Source organism: Homo sapiens, chromosome 10 (genome assembly GCF_000001405.40).
Source record: "Homo sapiens chromosome 10, GRCh38.p14 Primary Assembly".
NCBI classification, from domain to species: Eukaryota; Metazoa; Chordata; class Mammalia; order Primates; family Hominidae; genus Homo; species Homo sapiens.
The window spans coordinates 21,252,438-21,270,154 of record NC_000010.11 but is presented as its reverse complement, the minus strand read 5'-3'; the positions used below and the strand labels follow the sequence as shown (position 1 = coordinate 21,270,154).

General features: G+C 46.1%; 1 protein-coding gene across 2 annotated transcripts in view; it reads left to right on the top strand.

Annotated features, from left to right (window-relative positions):
• Nucleotides 1-17,717, top strand: part of NEBL (nebulette) — a 513,078-nt gene that overhangs the window by 22,896 nt on the left and 472,465 nt on the right. The window lies entirely within an intron of this gene.

Below are 17,717 nucleotides of genomic sequence, written 5' to 3'. Positions count from 1 at the left end.
ATGTCCACCAGATGATGCCACCATTCAGTGGAATTCCAGAGTTTTGCTTTGGGGATACAAGTACAGTTGTGGTTAAATTCAAGATGATGTCTAGAAAGATATTTTAACCTGTTTCAGACATAAATAATTTTCTTACTGCAATTTTACATGGAGTTCATGCACAGAAGCAATAGAGAATTTGAAAACAAACAAAGAACTCCTCAAATTTCTTTCAGGTTAATTCCGTACATTGACCCATTTTCCTAGCTGGGTCTTAACCACTTTTTTGTATTTGCTCTAAGTCAAGTGACAATGAGATTAATAGAAGGTGGCAGAGAGCTGTGCCTGGAGACCCAGTCTGGTAGGGAAGACCACCACCTTAGAGGTAAACTTCTTCCTCTATTAGGCATTTACTCTCACTATATATGCAAATATATTCCCTACAGCAAATCTCCATAAACAACAGATTCAGCCCAGTGGAAAAGCCAGTATGGACAGCCTGATGCAATTATATTCAGCATTAATGAACTGTGGGCTTCATCCTAATGTGTTGATATTTAGTAATCTTTGATAATGAAAGAGGGTGTAGCCTTTGAAGTCAAAGTGTCTGATGCTGCTGCATAGTTCTAACCACGAACGTTCATTATTTTGTTTGACAAATTGGCCTGCTTTGGAATATTAAACACTCAGTCTTTAGAGTGCGAAGAAGATAAAAGCAACTCTGTTTGTTGTGCTCATCGAGACTATTTCCCAAGAAGCCCAAAGCTCTTATAAGGTTTTATCTGGGAGATCCCATCTCTACGAATCTGCCTTCATCTCTCTGGAGGTGGCTGTGACAGGCATGTTCATTTGCACTCTCATTTAGGGGGAGGAGGGCCCAATTTCTTTGGCCCAGGCTGCCTCGGCCAGCCCTTGGAGTTCAGCATCTGCTGTTGTTGTACACAACCAACCCCTCTTAGAGGACTCAGAAGGCCCCTGGGTACCAGAGGGCCAAGACACTTAGGAATGCCCTCATGGAAAGCCACAATGGGAGAAGATGGGACAAGTGTCTTCCATTGCTCTGTTGTGCCCAGCAGGAAATGGGGATCCCCACAGTGCTTCTTTGGCATTCTTGTGAGACACTCTGCTCTGGCGGTGGTCAAACCACAATGGAGATGCGATGATCAGTCAATAATGATTATGATTAAAGTACCTAAGCTAAGATCCCTTAGGTACTTATGCTCTAGGGATTATACACACTGCTCTGGATGTTTTATTTTAACTCATACGATCACCTTATGAGTTGTATGCCAATTGTAATCCACCCTATCTTCTTGTTTCCAAAGTCTCTTAAATTTTTTTAAATTTTTTTGGCCAGGTGCAGTGGCTCATGCCTGTAATCCCAGCACTTTGGGAGGCCGAGGCGGGTGGATCACTTGAGGTCAGAAGTTCGAGACCAGCCTGGCCAACATGGTGAAACTCTGTCTCTATTGAAAAATACAGAATTTAACCAGACATGGTGGCACGTGTCTGTAATCTCAGCTACTTGGGAGGCTGAGGCAGGAGAATTGCATGAACCTGGGAGGCAGAGGTTGCAGTGAGCCGAGATCACACCACTGCACTCCAGCCTGGGTGACAGAGCAAGATACCATCTCCCAAAAAAAAAAAAAAATTAAATTAAAATTTTTATTTTTAATGTATTTTTTACTCTTTAGAGATAGAGCCTTGCTCTGTTGCCCAGGCTGGAGCACAGTGGCATGAACACAGCTCTCTGCAGCCTCAAACTCTTGGGCTCAGGCGATCCTCCTGCCTTAGCCTCCCAAGTAGCTGGGACTACAGGTGCATACCACCATGCCACTATGCTAGGCTAACTTTTTAAAATTATTTTTCGAAGAGACAGGGGTCTTGCTTTATTGTGCAGGCTGGTCTTGAACTCCTGTCCTCAACTGATCCTCCTGCCTCAGCCTCCCAAAGTGCTGGGATTACAGGCATAATCCCACGTCCAGCTTCAGTTGCCGCAGTCTTGATTTTGTAGTTTCCACTCTCTTTTGAGTGGTCACATGCAGTGAGAGGAGGTATTTCAAACACCAGGACTGACTCCTGGTTGGTCTAAGACCAAGGCAATCCTAGGAGTCTTGGTTTATGAATGAGCATGCAGTTGGGGCGCCACACATCGGTGTTCATGTTGCACACAGTCCGAAGGTACCACACCTAAGAGGGCATCATTCACATCATACACATACATTAACTGACAAGAGTGCTCAGGCATGAAGCTTCTGACCTTCTGGCTGAATTATAGAGCAGCTCTGTCCCATAGATCTTTCTGTGTTGATGAAAATGTTCTTTTGAATACAACAGACACTAGCCACATGTAGCTACTGAGCACTTGAAGTGTGGCCAGTACAACTGACGAACAAATGAATTTTTGATTTTATTTAATTTTAACTAATTTAATATTAAATTGAAATAGCATTATGTGGCTGATGGTTGCCATATTGGACCATGCAGTTTTAGATCATAAATCCCTCTCAGCATCTTCCATTGAGACCACACTGTCGGGAACATGTACACACACAATCACTCCCAAATTCAACCAGAGGGGTGTCTCCAAGGAGAAGTCTTGCGTGAGAAAGAGGATCCCATCTCCAGTTTGCATAAAGGCAAAGTGTAGGCCCACAGCAGCCCTGACTGTGATCCATGTCTCCACAACGAGGGTGGGAAGAAAGTGCTTCTGGGAAAAGTTTTTTTTCCCAACTATCCAAATAAGACACATCAGAACAGCAGCCTGGGCATGGTGGCTCATGCCTGTAATCCCAGCACTTTGGGAGGCCGAGGTGGGCAGATCACTTGAGGTCAGGAGTTTGAGACCAGCCTGGCCAACATGGCAAAACCCTGTCTTTACTGAAAAAACAAAAATTAGAGGCCAGGTGTGGTGGCTCATGCCTGTAATCCCAGCACTTTGGGAGGCCGAGGTGGGCGGATCACCTGAGGTCAGGAGTTTGAGACTGGCCTGGCCAATGTGGTGAAACCCCATCTTTATTAAAAATACAAAAAATTACCTGGGCATGGTGGCGAGCACCTGTAATCCCATCTACTCGGGAGGCTGAGGCAGGAGAATTGCTGGGACCTGGCAAGTGGAGGTTGCAGTGAGCCGAGATCGCGCCGTTGCACTCCAGTCTGAGTGACAGAGTGAGACTCCGTCTGAAAAAAACAAAAAACAAAAAAAACCCCAAATAAACAAAAAAAACAAAAATTATCCAGTCATGGTGGTGCACACCTGTAATCCCAGCTACTCTGGAGGCTGAGGCAGCAAATTGCTTGAACCCGGGAGGCAGAGGTTGCAGTAAGCTGAGATCATGCCACTGCACTCCAGCCTGAGTGACACAGTGAGACTCTGTCTCCAAAACAAGCCCCTCAAACTCCATCAATTGAAAACCAAGGCTGGGATTTTCTCCCTTGCTGAAATTGAGAGATGCTCACCTTAGTGCTTCCCCTGAGGATTCTGGGCTGTTTGAAAAGAGACACAGGCATCTGAAAAGAGTCCCCCCAGGGAGCACCGTGTGGATCCACGGGCAAACCAAGGCTTCTCAGGACATCCTCTTAAGATTCGACCCTGGGACTCAGGTGAGGGAAGAGCCTCATGCAGTGTGGGTGTGGGGAATTGGGGCCTGCCTTGAGCAGCATCTTCCATTGAGTATTCGCTAAGTCAGTGCTTGCAGCAATGTTTTAGAACGTTAACTACCGTGAGTAATGAGCTGTATGAGTGGTGGCTCATGCCTGTAATCCTAACACTTTGGGAGGCCAAGTTGGGTGGGTTGCTTGAGCTCAGGAGTTCGAGACTAGCCTGGGCAACATGGCGAAACTCTGTCTCTACCAAAAATACAAAAATTAGCCGGGCATGGTGGTGTGCACCTGTGGTCCCAGCTACTCGGGAGGCTAAGGTGGGAGAATCACCTGAGTCTGGGAGGCAGAGGTTGCAGTGAGCCTGAGATCACATCACTGCAGTCCAGCCTGGATGACAGAGTGAGACCCCATCTCAACAAAACAAAAACAAAAAGAAACTAGCAAAAAAGAAAAAAAAAATCAGCATACCTGGTGATCGATCAGATATGGGGGGCAGCAGGATCGAGGGGCTTTTCCACTGGTCTGCAGGGGCAGCCAGAGGTGCTGAAGAATTAATGCTCCTAGAAGCAATTTTTAACCAATGACGGATTAGAGTCTGTTGATAAATACTCCAACTTCTTCACCCTTGGTTGGGATAACTCCAAGGTGTGTTCTACACAAGGGCTCAGCAAACTAAATCCCAAGGACCAAATCCAGCCACCACCCATTTTGTAAAAAAGTGTTATTGGAACACAGCCATGATCATTTGTTTACATATGGTCTATGACTGTCTTCACATTCCAGTGGTAGAGTTGAGTAGTTGTGACAGAGACTGCCTGGCTTGGAAAGCCAAAAATATTTACTGTCTGGGCTTTTCAGAAAAGCGTACTGTTGCCTGTTTTATACAGTTTCCCAGGTTCCAGGTGGGACTGAGCTTCAGGTGCCCACAGTGGCCACTTTGATAACGCACTATTGGCTTTCTTCCCTTTCCTGTTTCACTTCTCCTCTCTTCTATTATAAACTATGTGCCCTTGAATTATTGCATCAAAACCTGCTTCTGAGGGAATTCAACCAATACAGTCACACAGCAATCAGAAATACTTAAGGCTTCTTAAATTCAAAGACTATTTTTTGGGGTATGATGGTGCTCACCATACGCAGTGAGATTAGTAGTGATAAAACCTGTGATGGGGTTTTGCAGCGTGAGAGTAAGAGGCTGCTGTGGTTTGAATGTTGGTGTCCCCCTCCCACTGCCCCAGGATTCCTGTGTTAGAACCTAATAACTGATGTGATAGTTTAAGAGGTGGGGCCTTTGGGAAGTGATTAGATCATGAGGGCTCCATCCTTATAAATGGGATTAGTGTTCTTATAAAAGAGGTGCGGTGGCTCACACCTGTAATCCCAGCACTTTGGGAGGCCCAGGTGGGTGGATCACCTGAGGTCAGGAGTTCAAGACCAGCCTGGCCAACATGGTAAAACCCCATCTCTACTAAAAACACAAAAATTAGTCGGGCACGGTGGCGCACACCTGTAATCCCAGCTACTCGGGAGGCTGAGGCAGGAGAATCATTTGAACCCAGGAGGTAGAGGTTGCAGCGGGCTAAGATTGTGCCACTGCACTCTAGACTCTGTCTCAAAAATAAAAATAAAAATAAAAATAAAATAAAATAAAAGAGGCTCAGCAAGCTCTCTTGCCCCTATTGTCACGTGAGGATGCAGCAAGAAGGCACCATATTTGAAAAAGAACAAGCCCTTTCCAGACACTGAATCTGCTAGCACCTTGGTCTTGGATTTCCCAGCCTCCAGAACTGTGAGCAATACATTTCTGTTGTCATGTTAACAAATTACCCAGTGTAAGGCTTTTTTTTTTTTTTTTTTTTTTTTTTTTTTTTTTTTTAAATAGCAACTGGAACAAATTAAGGGACCAATGCTTTCCAGAGCAACAGAAAGTATACTCTGGTCTATGAACTTAACAACGTGCCTGGACACCTCTGCATTAATCATCACTCTTTTTTTTTCCCCACCTGTAAACTTACATTGTTTTTCCACAACTTTCCCTCATATCTTGTAAGAACTCACTCTAATACTTTGAGTGAGTCAGAAGGAGAGTTGAGGACAACACCTGCAGAAGGGTGGCAACTTGCTCTGTCAGCCCTTTGCTCTTGTGGGGATGGGATGGCCCACCCAGTTCATTCCTGAGGCAAAGGCCCAGCAAATGCCTCTTCTCTAGCTCCTTGCAGAGGGCCATGTGCTGCCTGGAAGGCCATGGACAATGGTGCTGCACTGTCCCAGCACCGTGGTAGGGGCAGATGAGAGATGCTCTTTATATATCAGTGCTGTGCCTTTCCAGCTCCCTACACTTCTGCTTCAGGCTATCTCCCTACAGGATCATCCCAACTGGGGACACAGTGTGAAGTGGATATGCCTCAAATCCAACCACAGTATAAACTTCTTATGGCACCACTGGGCCAGTTTCTTCAACTGTTAGATCTGGAAAAGAGGAATACTGTAGCAGAGAAAAGGAGGCCTAGCATGACTAGCTCCATTTTGCCCCTAACTGCACCACCCTCCCTCCTACTCCTGCCATGGTGATATCTTTTGGTTTAACTGCTTTTTGTTTGTTTGTTTGAGACGGAGTTTCACTGTTATTGCCCAGGCTGGAGTGCAATGGTGTGATCTTGGCTCACGGCAACCTCTGCCTCCCAGGTTCAAGTGATTCTCCTGCTTCAACCTCCCGAGTATCTGGGATTATAGGCACCCACCACCACGCCCGGCTAATTTTTGTATTTTTAGTAGAGACGGGGTTTCGCCATGTTGCCCAGGCTGGTCTTGAACTCCTGACCTCAGGTGATCCGCCTGCCTCGGCCTCTCAAAGTACTGGGATTACAGGCGTGAGCCACTGTGCCTGGCCAGTTTAACCGCTTTTGCTTATCTCTGCACGTAGGCCAAGCTAACTATGGGAAGAATTTAGCTTAGAGTTTAATTTTAAAGCAAGAATAATCATAGTCCCTTCCCAAAACTAACCCCCGGGGAGATAGGAGAGCACACACAAGTAAGCATGCTATGCTAAAATTTATAGAAGCACTGTGACCTGGTCACGGACAAAGAAGTTTCACAACCTCCCCCGCTTGGACTCTTACTGCCACCCAGATGTCTGTGATCATCAGTCACCTCTTGATCTCAACCCCCCGCCCCCTTTCCCTTTCCCCTAACATAACAGGAGCCTAGAATTCTATTAGCTTAGGGTGTTTCTTTAGGACACTAGTCCGCCATCTTCTCAATTTGCTGGCTCTTCTTAATAAAAGGTGTTTTCCTTGTCCCAATTCCTTATCTCTTGACTTATTGGCTGTGATGCAGTGAGCAGTACAAGCTTTGGACTTGGTTACAATACCTCAAGTGGTATGAGGATTAAATGGGTAAATACCTACGCTAAGAGTACTTAGAACAATGCCCAGAACATAATATGTGTTCAATCGCTGTTGCCATTGTGATTATTTCTCTTATTATTATTACTGTCACTATAACAGCACCTTGTGCATCCACAAAAGACCCAAAGTAGATAATACATCTGTATCTTCTTGAGAAGCCCACCAAAGGGGCTGTGGGTACTGTTTTTAGATGGCCTTTTCTGTCCCCTGATGCTGAAAGAGAATCCTGCTCTGATGTTAGTTATTGCGTTTGTATAATCTCCTGACTGGGTAATCGTCTACAAACGTGCTATTTAGAATGTCTACACGGAATTTAAAGAGAGGTTTGTAATCATGGGCACACTGGAAAACCACTACACCCACCAGCCAATTATCATGGAGTCACAGACCAGGGAGGGATGGCAGATGCTAAGTTCAGCCTTCCATCCCCAGCCCCAGCCTTGGGGCCGGACCCTAGGCTCAACCAATGTGCTCAGACACAAGCCTGGCCTTCTCTTGGAAATGAGGCTTTTCTGGGGAAATTTCTTTTAAAAATTGTGACCTTGATTTTGATCACTTCCTGAGAGAAAATTCAGCCCTATATTTAACTGCCCACAGCTTTGAATTCATCAAAGCCCCAGTTTAATTTCCAATCCCAGATACATTTTGCTTTCCTTCGTTTCTCCCTGGGTTTCCAGCTCTGGCACTGGGAGCTTTGCAAGACTGACACTCTTCAGAGACCCCCATAGGGAACAGGCGTGGGGCCAGATTCACGCAGCTTGGGTCCCCCTAGCCGAGTGGGCCAGAGAGCACCTTCCCTTCTAAATCCTGTGATCTGGGGCAAACTTCTTGTGCAGAGGCACTTGTTCAATCAGTTTAACCTCTTCCCCAGCAAAGCATTTCGTGATGGCGTATTCAGAGACACAGCGATCCTCCTCCGACATTTTCCTCAGGCCAGCGTCCTTCATTCTTGGGGTTCATTGGAGCCGTTTCCATAGTGACAGCCACTTGTTGAGTTTTGAATCTCCTATCGAGGCCCTCGCAATTTGCCAGCTAAGCCAGGGATCACCAGGCGTGTGTGCCAGGATAATAAGACAAAGTCTGTTTTATTTTACCCTTCTCTTTTTTGTCGGCTTTCGGTTGGGGGCAGCCTTACAAAAGAGAGGGGCCTTTTGGCTTTCAAAATCCTTAGGCCTCTGCTCATTATCCCAGGCGATATCTTGGACTGAACAGTGTGGACTCCATTCCTGCATGGTCTCCAGGCGGCTGCTGCTGGTCTGAGTGAACCATGGCAACAGCTGGGAGTGTGCACGTCTCAGCAGGACACGCAGGGCTGTTTTGGTGCATGTGAGTGTGTGTTGCCGCTGACACTCCTATCTCTTTATTTTAAAGGTAGGGAGATTAGGATAAAAACAAGTCTATCACGAGGCTCAGTATCCTTTATTGAAGGCTAGAATCAAGATCATTTTGCTTTTGCTTTCTTTTTAGAGCATCTCCTGGGACACTTTTTTCTTTTCTTTCTTTCTTTCTTTTTTTTTTTGAGACAGGGTCTCACTCTGTTACCTGGGATGGTGTGCAATGGTGTGGTCATGGCTCACTGCAGCCTCAGCCTCCCGGGCCTAAGCAATCCTTCTGCCCCAGCCTCCTGTGTAGCTGGGACCACCACGCCTGGCTGATTTTTATATTGTTTGTAGGGATAGTGCCTCACTTTGTTGCCCAGGTTGGTCTTGAACTCCTGGGCTCAAGCAATCCTCCTGCCTCAGCTTCCCAAAGTGCTAGGCTTACAGTGTGAGCCGCTGTGCCCAGCCTGTCTCTTTATTTTGAAGGTACTGATGATTAGGATGAAAAACTTCCATCATGAGGTTCAGCGTCCATTATTGAAGGTTGGAATCAGGATAATTTTCCTTTCTTTTTAGAGACTCTTCTGGGACACTTAATGTCAGTGACATTTAGCAGAGCAGCCTGGAGCCTTGTGGCTCCCACTGCCTTGATGTTTCATGTGTATTCAGACAGGGGTTACCCACCATTTCCCTGGGGTGTGTTTAGTCTAATAGGTGTAAACCAAGACCTGCAAGAAGCATTAGTGATTCAAGCGGACAACTATCCTCACAAGTAGAACAACTAGAGAAAGAAATTCAATAAGAGGATCAGCACATCAAAGCATGCCTTGCCATCCACGATCCCTTCTTACTGACTGAAATGGAAATGCTTCCTGCTTGCGAGTCTACACCAGTGCTCCCGTGCACCACCATGAGGTTTAAGTATCGAGAGCGCCTGTGACTCCCTAATGTTTTTAACTTTCACTGCAAGATTTTGTTGTTCGTTGCTGTTGAGCTTTTGGAAGAATCTCTAAAGAAAATTCCTCTGCTCTGAACGGATTTGCTGTTTTGTGTGTGGCTAGAACTTCAGCAAGGGCATAATGAGGGGCAACATTTTTTCTCTTTTAGGAGATGCCAGGTCCTGAGTAGGAGCTGACCGGGGTGCAGAAGAGAAGGGCTCGACCTTCAGAAGAATGCCTGAAAGCTCTGCCTGTCTGGTTTCATCATGGGTTTTAACGGAATACTTGGAAAGGGAAAACAGGGGAACATAGTGATTCAGAGCCTGGGGCTTCTTGGCTGCCAATATACCAAATACTTGAACAAATGAACACACAATCAAGGGCAGTTTATAACTCAGCATCCTAGAGCAGATCTATTTTAAAGGCAAGGCAAAAAGAAAAAGAGGAAATTATCTAAATTAAAAGTCAATGTTTCTAATTGCAAATAAGAAAATGATGAACATAATGATAGAATAAAGAAGCCCATCAGACTGCGTCTGGAATCCGCAGGCCCTGTTAGCAAATTTGGCACACCACAGGCCCTGGGCTTTCTCCAGAGCCTTCTGGCCTTTGGAAAAGTGGCTCTTAAGCAGATAGGGTTGGATGACCTGCTCCTGTCTGGAGCTGTTTTCAAAGGGCTAGAGGCTGCAGAAGTCTGGACCGGATTCCCGGATGAGCTGTTTCATTCTAGGGCTTCCCGTGGACTCAGTCATTAAGGAATGCTTCAGTTTCAGCATAACCCAATGCAAACCATTTCAAGCAATCTGGAAACGTATTGATTTGCCTAACAGGAAAACCCAGATGCAAGGCAGGACTGGGTTGGTTGGATCCAATGGTTCAATAATATTGCCAAGGACTGGATTTCTTTTTCTCTTCCGTGCTGCCTCCAGTGGTATCAGGTTTACTCCAAGGTTGGCTTCTCTCTTGGTTGCAAAGTGGCTGCCAACTGCCTTCAGGGTGACATGCTTCCTCCGCCACTCAAACATGAAGCCGAAGTCTTGCACCTTCCTGTTCCACCTTAGATCCACCCCCCTGCCCTCTAGGAAGACGCTTGCAATATTGTGGCCAAGGAAAGGCAGGGGGCTGACTGGTTTAGGCCTGGATTACTACACATCCCTGAAGCCATCGCACGTGGGGTGCAATTCTGCTGATTGTTTTTGGCCGTTGGGGCCTCCTCTGGAGCTGAGGGTAGGGGCCAATCCACCCCAAACACAAGGCTTTGCCACCAGGAAGACTGGTGTTCCCTCAAAGGAAAGTTGAGGTGCTGTTAGCAAGAGGGATACGGGTAAGGGTGGGGCTTGGGGTGGAGCTGGTTAAGCAATGACCAGGTATTATCTCTAGGTGTGGATCTTTTGAGGGTGGGAAAGGCTAGAAAGAGGCACGGGATGAGGAACAGAAGGTGAAGTAACATCCCAAACCCTAGGAAGTAAGGGTGGGAATGAACTTGAAGCCTGTCTGAGTCAGTTTCATAGCTGCACCCTCACTTCCTCCTGTATCCATTCGCTCTCTTCCTCGCCGTCTCCAAGTAGGGATGGGCACAGCCTAGTGATGAAGTCTGTGTGTTTCCTAGCCTGGCCAATGTTGTGAAACTCCGTCTGTACTACAAATACAAAAATTAGCTGGGCATGGTGGCACACTCCTGTAATCCCAGCTGCTCGGGAGGCTGAGGCACAAGAATCGCTTGAACCTAAGAGGCGGAGTTTGCAGTAAGCTGAGATTCTGCCACTGCACTCCAGCCTGGGTGACAGAGAGAGACTCTGTCTCAAAAAAGACAAAAAAGCTATTAAAAAAAAAAAAAGACTGTGCGTCTTTTTTTCCCCAAGTATCACCACTACTGGGCAAACTACTTATCATCTCAGCCTTCACTTTCGTCATCTGTAAAATGGGGGTAATCATAGGATCTATTTCATAGGATTATTGTGAGGATTAAATGACCTAAACTACATAAAGTACCTAGAACATTGCCTGACCCAATGCAGGTCCTCAGTAAATATTAGCTATTATTATTCCAGCCCAGGCCAGAGTGCAGTGGCCGTGATCTCGGCTCATTGCAACCTCTGCTTCCTGAGTTCAAGTAATTCTCCTGCCTCAACCTCCTGAGTAGCTGGGATTACAGGCGCCTGTCACCACACCTGGCTAATTATTTTTATTTATTATTTTTTTTGAGATGGTGTTTCGCTTTTGTCACCCAGGCTGGAGTGCAATGGCGTGATCTCAGCTCACTGCAACCTCCGTCTCCTGGGTTCAAGCGATTCTGCTGCCTCAGCCTCCTGAGTAGCTGGGATTACAGGCGCCCGCCACCACACCCGGCTAATTTTTGTATTTTTAGTAGAGATGGGGTTTCACCACTTTGGCCAGGCTGGTCTCAAACTCCCAGCCTCAGTTGATCCACCTGTCTCGGCCTCCCAAAGTGCTGGGATTACAGGTACGAGCCACAGCTCCTGGCCTAATTTTTGTATTGTTAGTAGAAAGGGGATTTCACCATGTTGGCCAGGCTGGTCTTGAACTCCTGACCTCAAGTGATCCACCTGCCTTGGCCTCTCCAAGTAGTGGGATTACAGGCATAAGCCACTGCACCCAGCCTCAACCTCTGTTTTCTATAGCAGTGATCTGGAGTGTAGTGGTGCAATCATAGCTCATTGCAGTTGTGAACATCTGGGCTCCAGCCATCCTCCCGCCTCAGCCTCCTGAGTTGCTGGGACTACAGGCTTGAGTCACTGTGCTCAGCTTATAGCAGTGATTTTGATCATGCTTTCTTGTATTGTCATTTCCTCCTTCACACTCAGTCTCCCTGCTTTCTCACTCCTGTTTCCCGGAATCATCTTCCAAACAAAATACAACACAAGATCTTATCTCAGGCCCTGCTCTTGGGAGAACCCAAACCAAGAAAGCATGTAATCTAGACTTAAAGATATTAAAAAACAATATATGTATGTAGTGTGTGTGTGTGTGTTTTGATGTTTTTTTTTTGGGGTGTGTGTGTGTGAGATGGAGTCTCGCTCTGCCACCCAGGCTGGAGTGCAGTGGCGCGATCCAGGCTCACTGCAAGCTCCACCTCCTGGTTTCACGCCATTCTCCTGCCTCAGCCTCCCAAGTAGCTGGGACTACAGGTGCCTGCCACCACACCCACCTAGTTTTTTGTATTTTTAGTAGAGATGGGGTTTCACTGTGTTAGCCAGGATGGTCTCGATCTCCTGACCTTGTGATCCGCCCGCCTCGGCCTCCCAAAGTGCTGGGATTACAGGCGTGAGCCACCATGCACGGCGTTTTGGTGGTTTTTTACATCAACCAGATTGTCACCTCTTGTGAAAACAGACCAGGACTTAAACTTTTTTAGTGTTTTTCAGTTCCTACAGCAATGGAGGTGAGGACCAGTGCTTACTAGCTATTATGTGCCAGGCACTTTACATACATATTAAAACATAATCCTCAGGAGAACGCTGTAAGATTCTTATCATTATCTCCACTGTGCTTGAAGTGGCTTGGCTAAGCTCAGAGGTGTTGAGCTCACCAGATTCCCTGAGGATACACAACAAGAAAGTTTCCCTAGTTTACTAAGGACACAGGCTCGTAAGTGGCAGTGAAGATATTTATATAGGTATGTCTGAATCTCAGGGCCTCATAGAAATACTGAAAACAATGCTTGATGGTAAACAGTAGCCACATTGAAACTTTATCCTTTGCTTGGTAGTGTTTATTCCAGGACCCAAGTCATATAATTTTAATATAAAACACTCAATAGATAATACTGTGAGAAAGGAGCAGAAGTATGCTGATAAATGTTTAGCAATTGGCACTCTGAAGCAAAAGCCCTATTTTCAGTGATGGCTAATTTTCATAGTGTTGTTATTCCCACTATGGCCAATTTCAAGCTACCAGCATGGCAGTGGGGAGAGATGGTGGTAGCCCACCATTATATGGTATTTCTGCTTATAGAACCAGTAGACATACAAAACCTCAACAGCATAGATAGCAGTCAAATGTAGAAAAAATAATTAGGAAGAGTAAGTTTGAGTACTTACTATTATTTTTAGACAGGGTCTTGCTCTGTTGCCTAGGCAGGAGTGCAGTGCTACGATCAGAGCTCACTACAGCCTGGAACTCCTGGGCTCAAGGAGTTTCTGGATCCTCCTGTATCAGTCTCTTGAGTAGCTGGGACTGCAGGTGTGACCCACTGTACCCAGATAATACTCAAAATATTTTTAGAGACAGGGTCTCACTATGTTGCCTAGGCTGGTCTCGAACTCCTGGCCTCAAGTTATCCTCCCATCCTAGCCTCCCAAAGGGCTGGGATTACAGGCATGAGCTACCTCATCCAGCCTGTTATCTTTGTTTTTAATATAATTTATTTAATTTTAAGTTTACATATTTAGTTTTTAATAGTGGTTATGTTTAGCAACTGGTTTGTAATATCCCAGGAAATTTAACATTCAGCAGCTGTGGGACAGTATCAACTGGCTTCAGCATACCTCAGCCTATGGCTTGAAAGGGAAATAAAAAGAGGCTGGGTGTGATGGCTCACGCCTGTAATCTCAGCATTTTGGGAGGCCAAGGTGGGCGGACTACTTGAGGTCAGGAGTTTGAGACCAGCCTGGCCAACAAGGTGACACCCCATCTCTACTAAAAATACAAAAATTAGCCAGGTATGGTGGTGGGTGTGTGTAATCCCAGCTACTAAAGAGGCTGAGGCAGGAGAATCACTTGAACCCAGGATGTGGAGGTTGCAGTGAGCTGAGATTGTGACACTGCACTGCAGCCTGAGTGAGAGAGCAAGACTCAATCCCCAAAACAGGGACATAAAAATAAATTTCAGTAGTGAATTTATCATTAAAATTTGTCTCAGAAGGCTGGAGATGAATCCTTTTTTTTCTTTTTCTTTTTTTTTTTTGAGACAGAGTCTCGCTCTGTCGCCCAGGCTGGAGTGCAGTGGTGCGATCTCAGCTCACTGCAACCTTTGCCTCCCGGGCTCAAGCAATTCTCCTGCCTCAGCCTCCCGAGTAGCTGGGACCCACGCCTGGCTAATTTTTTGTATTTTTAGTAGAGATGGGGTTTCACCATGTTGGCCAGGCTGGTCTCGATCTCCTGACCTCGTGATCTGCCCACCTTGGCCTCCCAAAGTGTTGGGATTACCGGTGTGAGCCACCGCGCCCAGCCGGAGATGAATCCTTTTCAGAGGTTGGATTATTCTCTGATGCTGAAGATTTATCATAGTTAAGGGGGAATATTCTTTGATGCAGCATTGCAGTGAAATTTCCTACGATGATGTTGTCCAGTAAAGTGGCCACTAGCCACGTGTCAGCTCTTGAACACTTGAAATGTGACCGGTATAATGAAGGAACCCAAATTTACAATTTTATTTATTGTTAATGAATTTAAATTTAAATCTAAGTAGTTGCGTGTGGTTAATGGCTACTGTATTGAACAGCACAGCTTATACTTTGTCAAATGATTTTTAGTAGGTCTTTATTATCAGATCACATGTTAGATCCTCAGCTCGCAATACCCGAGTCAGCATCTCTCAGCCTATCTGCTTGTACTGACTCCTCCTCTCAACCTTGGTTCCTCCACGGGTCTTTTCTCCATCACTAATATATACACTCAGCTGCTTCTCATATCTGGCCTTAGGACATGACGTTCTCGCTCTAATTCCCATATGTGCCACTCATGGGTTACACATGTGCCTGTGAGCCATCGCCCTCTTAAACTCTCAGGGTAGCCTGGCAGGGACTGGTGTGGATGAAGCTCCTGGGCGAACCATCTTCAGACTCAAGCAGCTTTGTTTGGGGCCCTTCGGAGGGAGGTTTGCAGGGAGCAGAGTCTGATAGACTGTCCTATGGCCTCCAAGGCAGAGAACTCCAGCTACATCAGCATTCTGTTGTTACCCCAACACACACTATGTGTGGCTAATGAGGTGCTCTGCCATGTGAACTTGGACCTCAACAGCCAGCCACAGCTTGGGACATTGCCTGGTCTAGACCAGCGGCCCTGGTGTGTCCATTTAGGTCTCCAGGAAGTAAGACACAAGCCCCAGGGTCAGGCAGTCATGGGCAGGGTATGTGAAGTCCAGACAGGGGCCCCTAGTGGGTGCAGCTACTGGTGGGTGCAGCTCCTGGGTGGTCCCAAATCTTCCTCTTCACCTATTTCAGATACTTCTGTCCATTTGTGCCTGGCCACGTCCTTGCAGTGGTGCTTAAACTAGGGGCTGGTTAATTGCCCCAACAACACGTGCATGTTCTGTGAATTAAAAATTCCATTATTATTAGTTGGATGTGGTGGTGCACACCTGTAATACCAGCAACTTGGGAGGCTGAGGCATAAGAATCGCTTGAATCTGGGAGGCAGAGGTTGCAGTGAGCCAACATTGTGCCACTGCACTCTAGCCTGGGTGACAGGGTGACAACATCTCAAAGAAAAAAAAAACAAAAGACAATAAACAATTACATTATTGGGCCAGGTATGGTGGCTCATGCCCGTAATCCCAGAAATTTGTGAGGCTGAGATGGAAGATCAGGAGTTCAAGACCAGCCTGGGCAGCATAGCAAGACCCTGTCTCTACAAAAACAACTTAGCTGGGCATGGTGGAATGTGCCTGTAGCCCCAGCTATTTGGAAGGCTGAGATGGGAGGATCACTTGAGCCCAGTGGTTCAAGGCTGCAGTGAGCTATGATCATGCCGTTGAACTCCAGCTTGGGCAACAGAACAAGACCCTGTCTCTAAAAATATTTTTTCATTATTATTTTAAAATTCTACATATGAAAGGGTCTGATTGAATTAGAAATCCATCCATATTATCATAAGACATTTAAATGTTACATTTATCAATAAAGAATATGAATAATCAAGTCTTTCAATATTTCAACTATTGTACATTTTGGATAGATGTAAAAATCACTTTACATTCTTTAGCATGTATTTGTGCAAAGTTTCTTCATTTAAAACTCTCTGAAGTTTCTCATTTAAAAGTGATCTCATTGACAATGACTTCCAAGAATTTGAAGAGATCATCCTTAAAAAGTTGGCATTTTGGCCAGGTGCGAGTGGCTCATGCCTGTAATCCCAGTACTTTGGGAGACCAAGGTGGACAGATCATCTGAGGTCAGGAGTTTGAGACCAGCCTGGCCAACATGGCTAAACTCCATCTCTACTAAAAATAGAAAAATTAGCCAGGCATGGTAGCAGGCACCTGTAATCCCAGCTACTCGGGAGGCTGAGGCAGGAGAAGCGCTTGAACCCAGGAGGCAGAAGTTGTGGTGAGCCGAGATTGCGCCATTGCACTCCAGCCTCGGCAACAAGAGCAAAACTCCATCTCAAAAAAAAAAAAAAAAAAAAGAGGTTTAAAAAGTAATGACGTTTTCCCACTAAGTACTCTATAAATGGCTCCTACCCTCAATGTTGTCTAGTTTATCCCAGCATGCGAAGCCAATATTTTTCCTCTGTGTGCCATGGCTCGCAAAAATTTGGTCAGGAGCGTCCAGATTATCTTTTTCTCTTGTGCTCTGTACCTATAAATCTCTCTCTATTTGTGACTCAGGCCCCTGTTTCTTCTCAACACTCCACAGTCAGTAGTCTCTGGCTTCTGCCTTATTATTATTACTTTTGAGACAGAGTTTCATTCTTGTCGCCCAGGCAAGAGTGCAATGGCACGATCTTGGCTCACTGCAACCTTCGCCTCCCTCGTTCAAGCGATTCTCTCACCTCTCTTGCCTCAGCCTCCTGAGTAGCTTGGATTACAGGTGCCTGCCATCATGCCCAGCTAATTTTTGTATTTTTAGTAGAGATGGGGTTTCTCCATGCTGGCCAGACTGGTCTCGAACTCTTGCGCTCAGGTGATCCACCCTCCTCAGCCTCCCAAAATGCTGGGATTACAGGCGTTAGCAGCCATGCCTGGCCTCTGCCTTATTTATTTGCTTTTTTGGGATGGAGTTTCTCTCTTGTTGCCCCGGCTGGAGTGCAGTGGTGTAATCTTAGCTCACCACAGCCTTCACCTCCCGGGTTCAAGTGATTCTCCTGCCTCAGCCTCCCAAGTAGCTGGGATTACAGGCATGCGCCACCATGCCTGGCTAATTTTGTATTTTTAGTAGAGACAGGGTTTCTCTATGTCGGTCAGGCTGGTCTTGAACTCCTGACCTCAGGTGATCTGCCCGCCTTGGCCTCCCGAAGTGCTAGGATTACAGGTGTGAGCTACCGCGCCCAGCCTCCTCTGCCTCATTTTTATAGGCAAGATATTCTACTTGTATATGCTTCGATGTGGCCCCTTTTCTGTATATTTATATATATTTTTTCCCAGTAAGGTTGTGCATTTTAAAAACGTGGTATCTTTGGGCTTGCTTCTTTTGGATAGCTCAATTCCTTAAAAACTCTCAACATGAATTACAAGATCCAAAACTAATTCACCTAAAATTAGGGCATGGAGTTTGCTTTTTCCCTGCTTT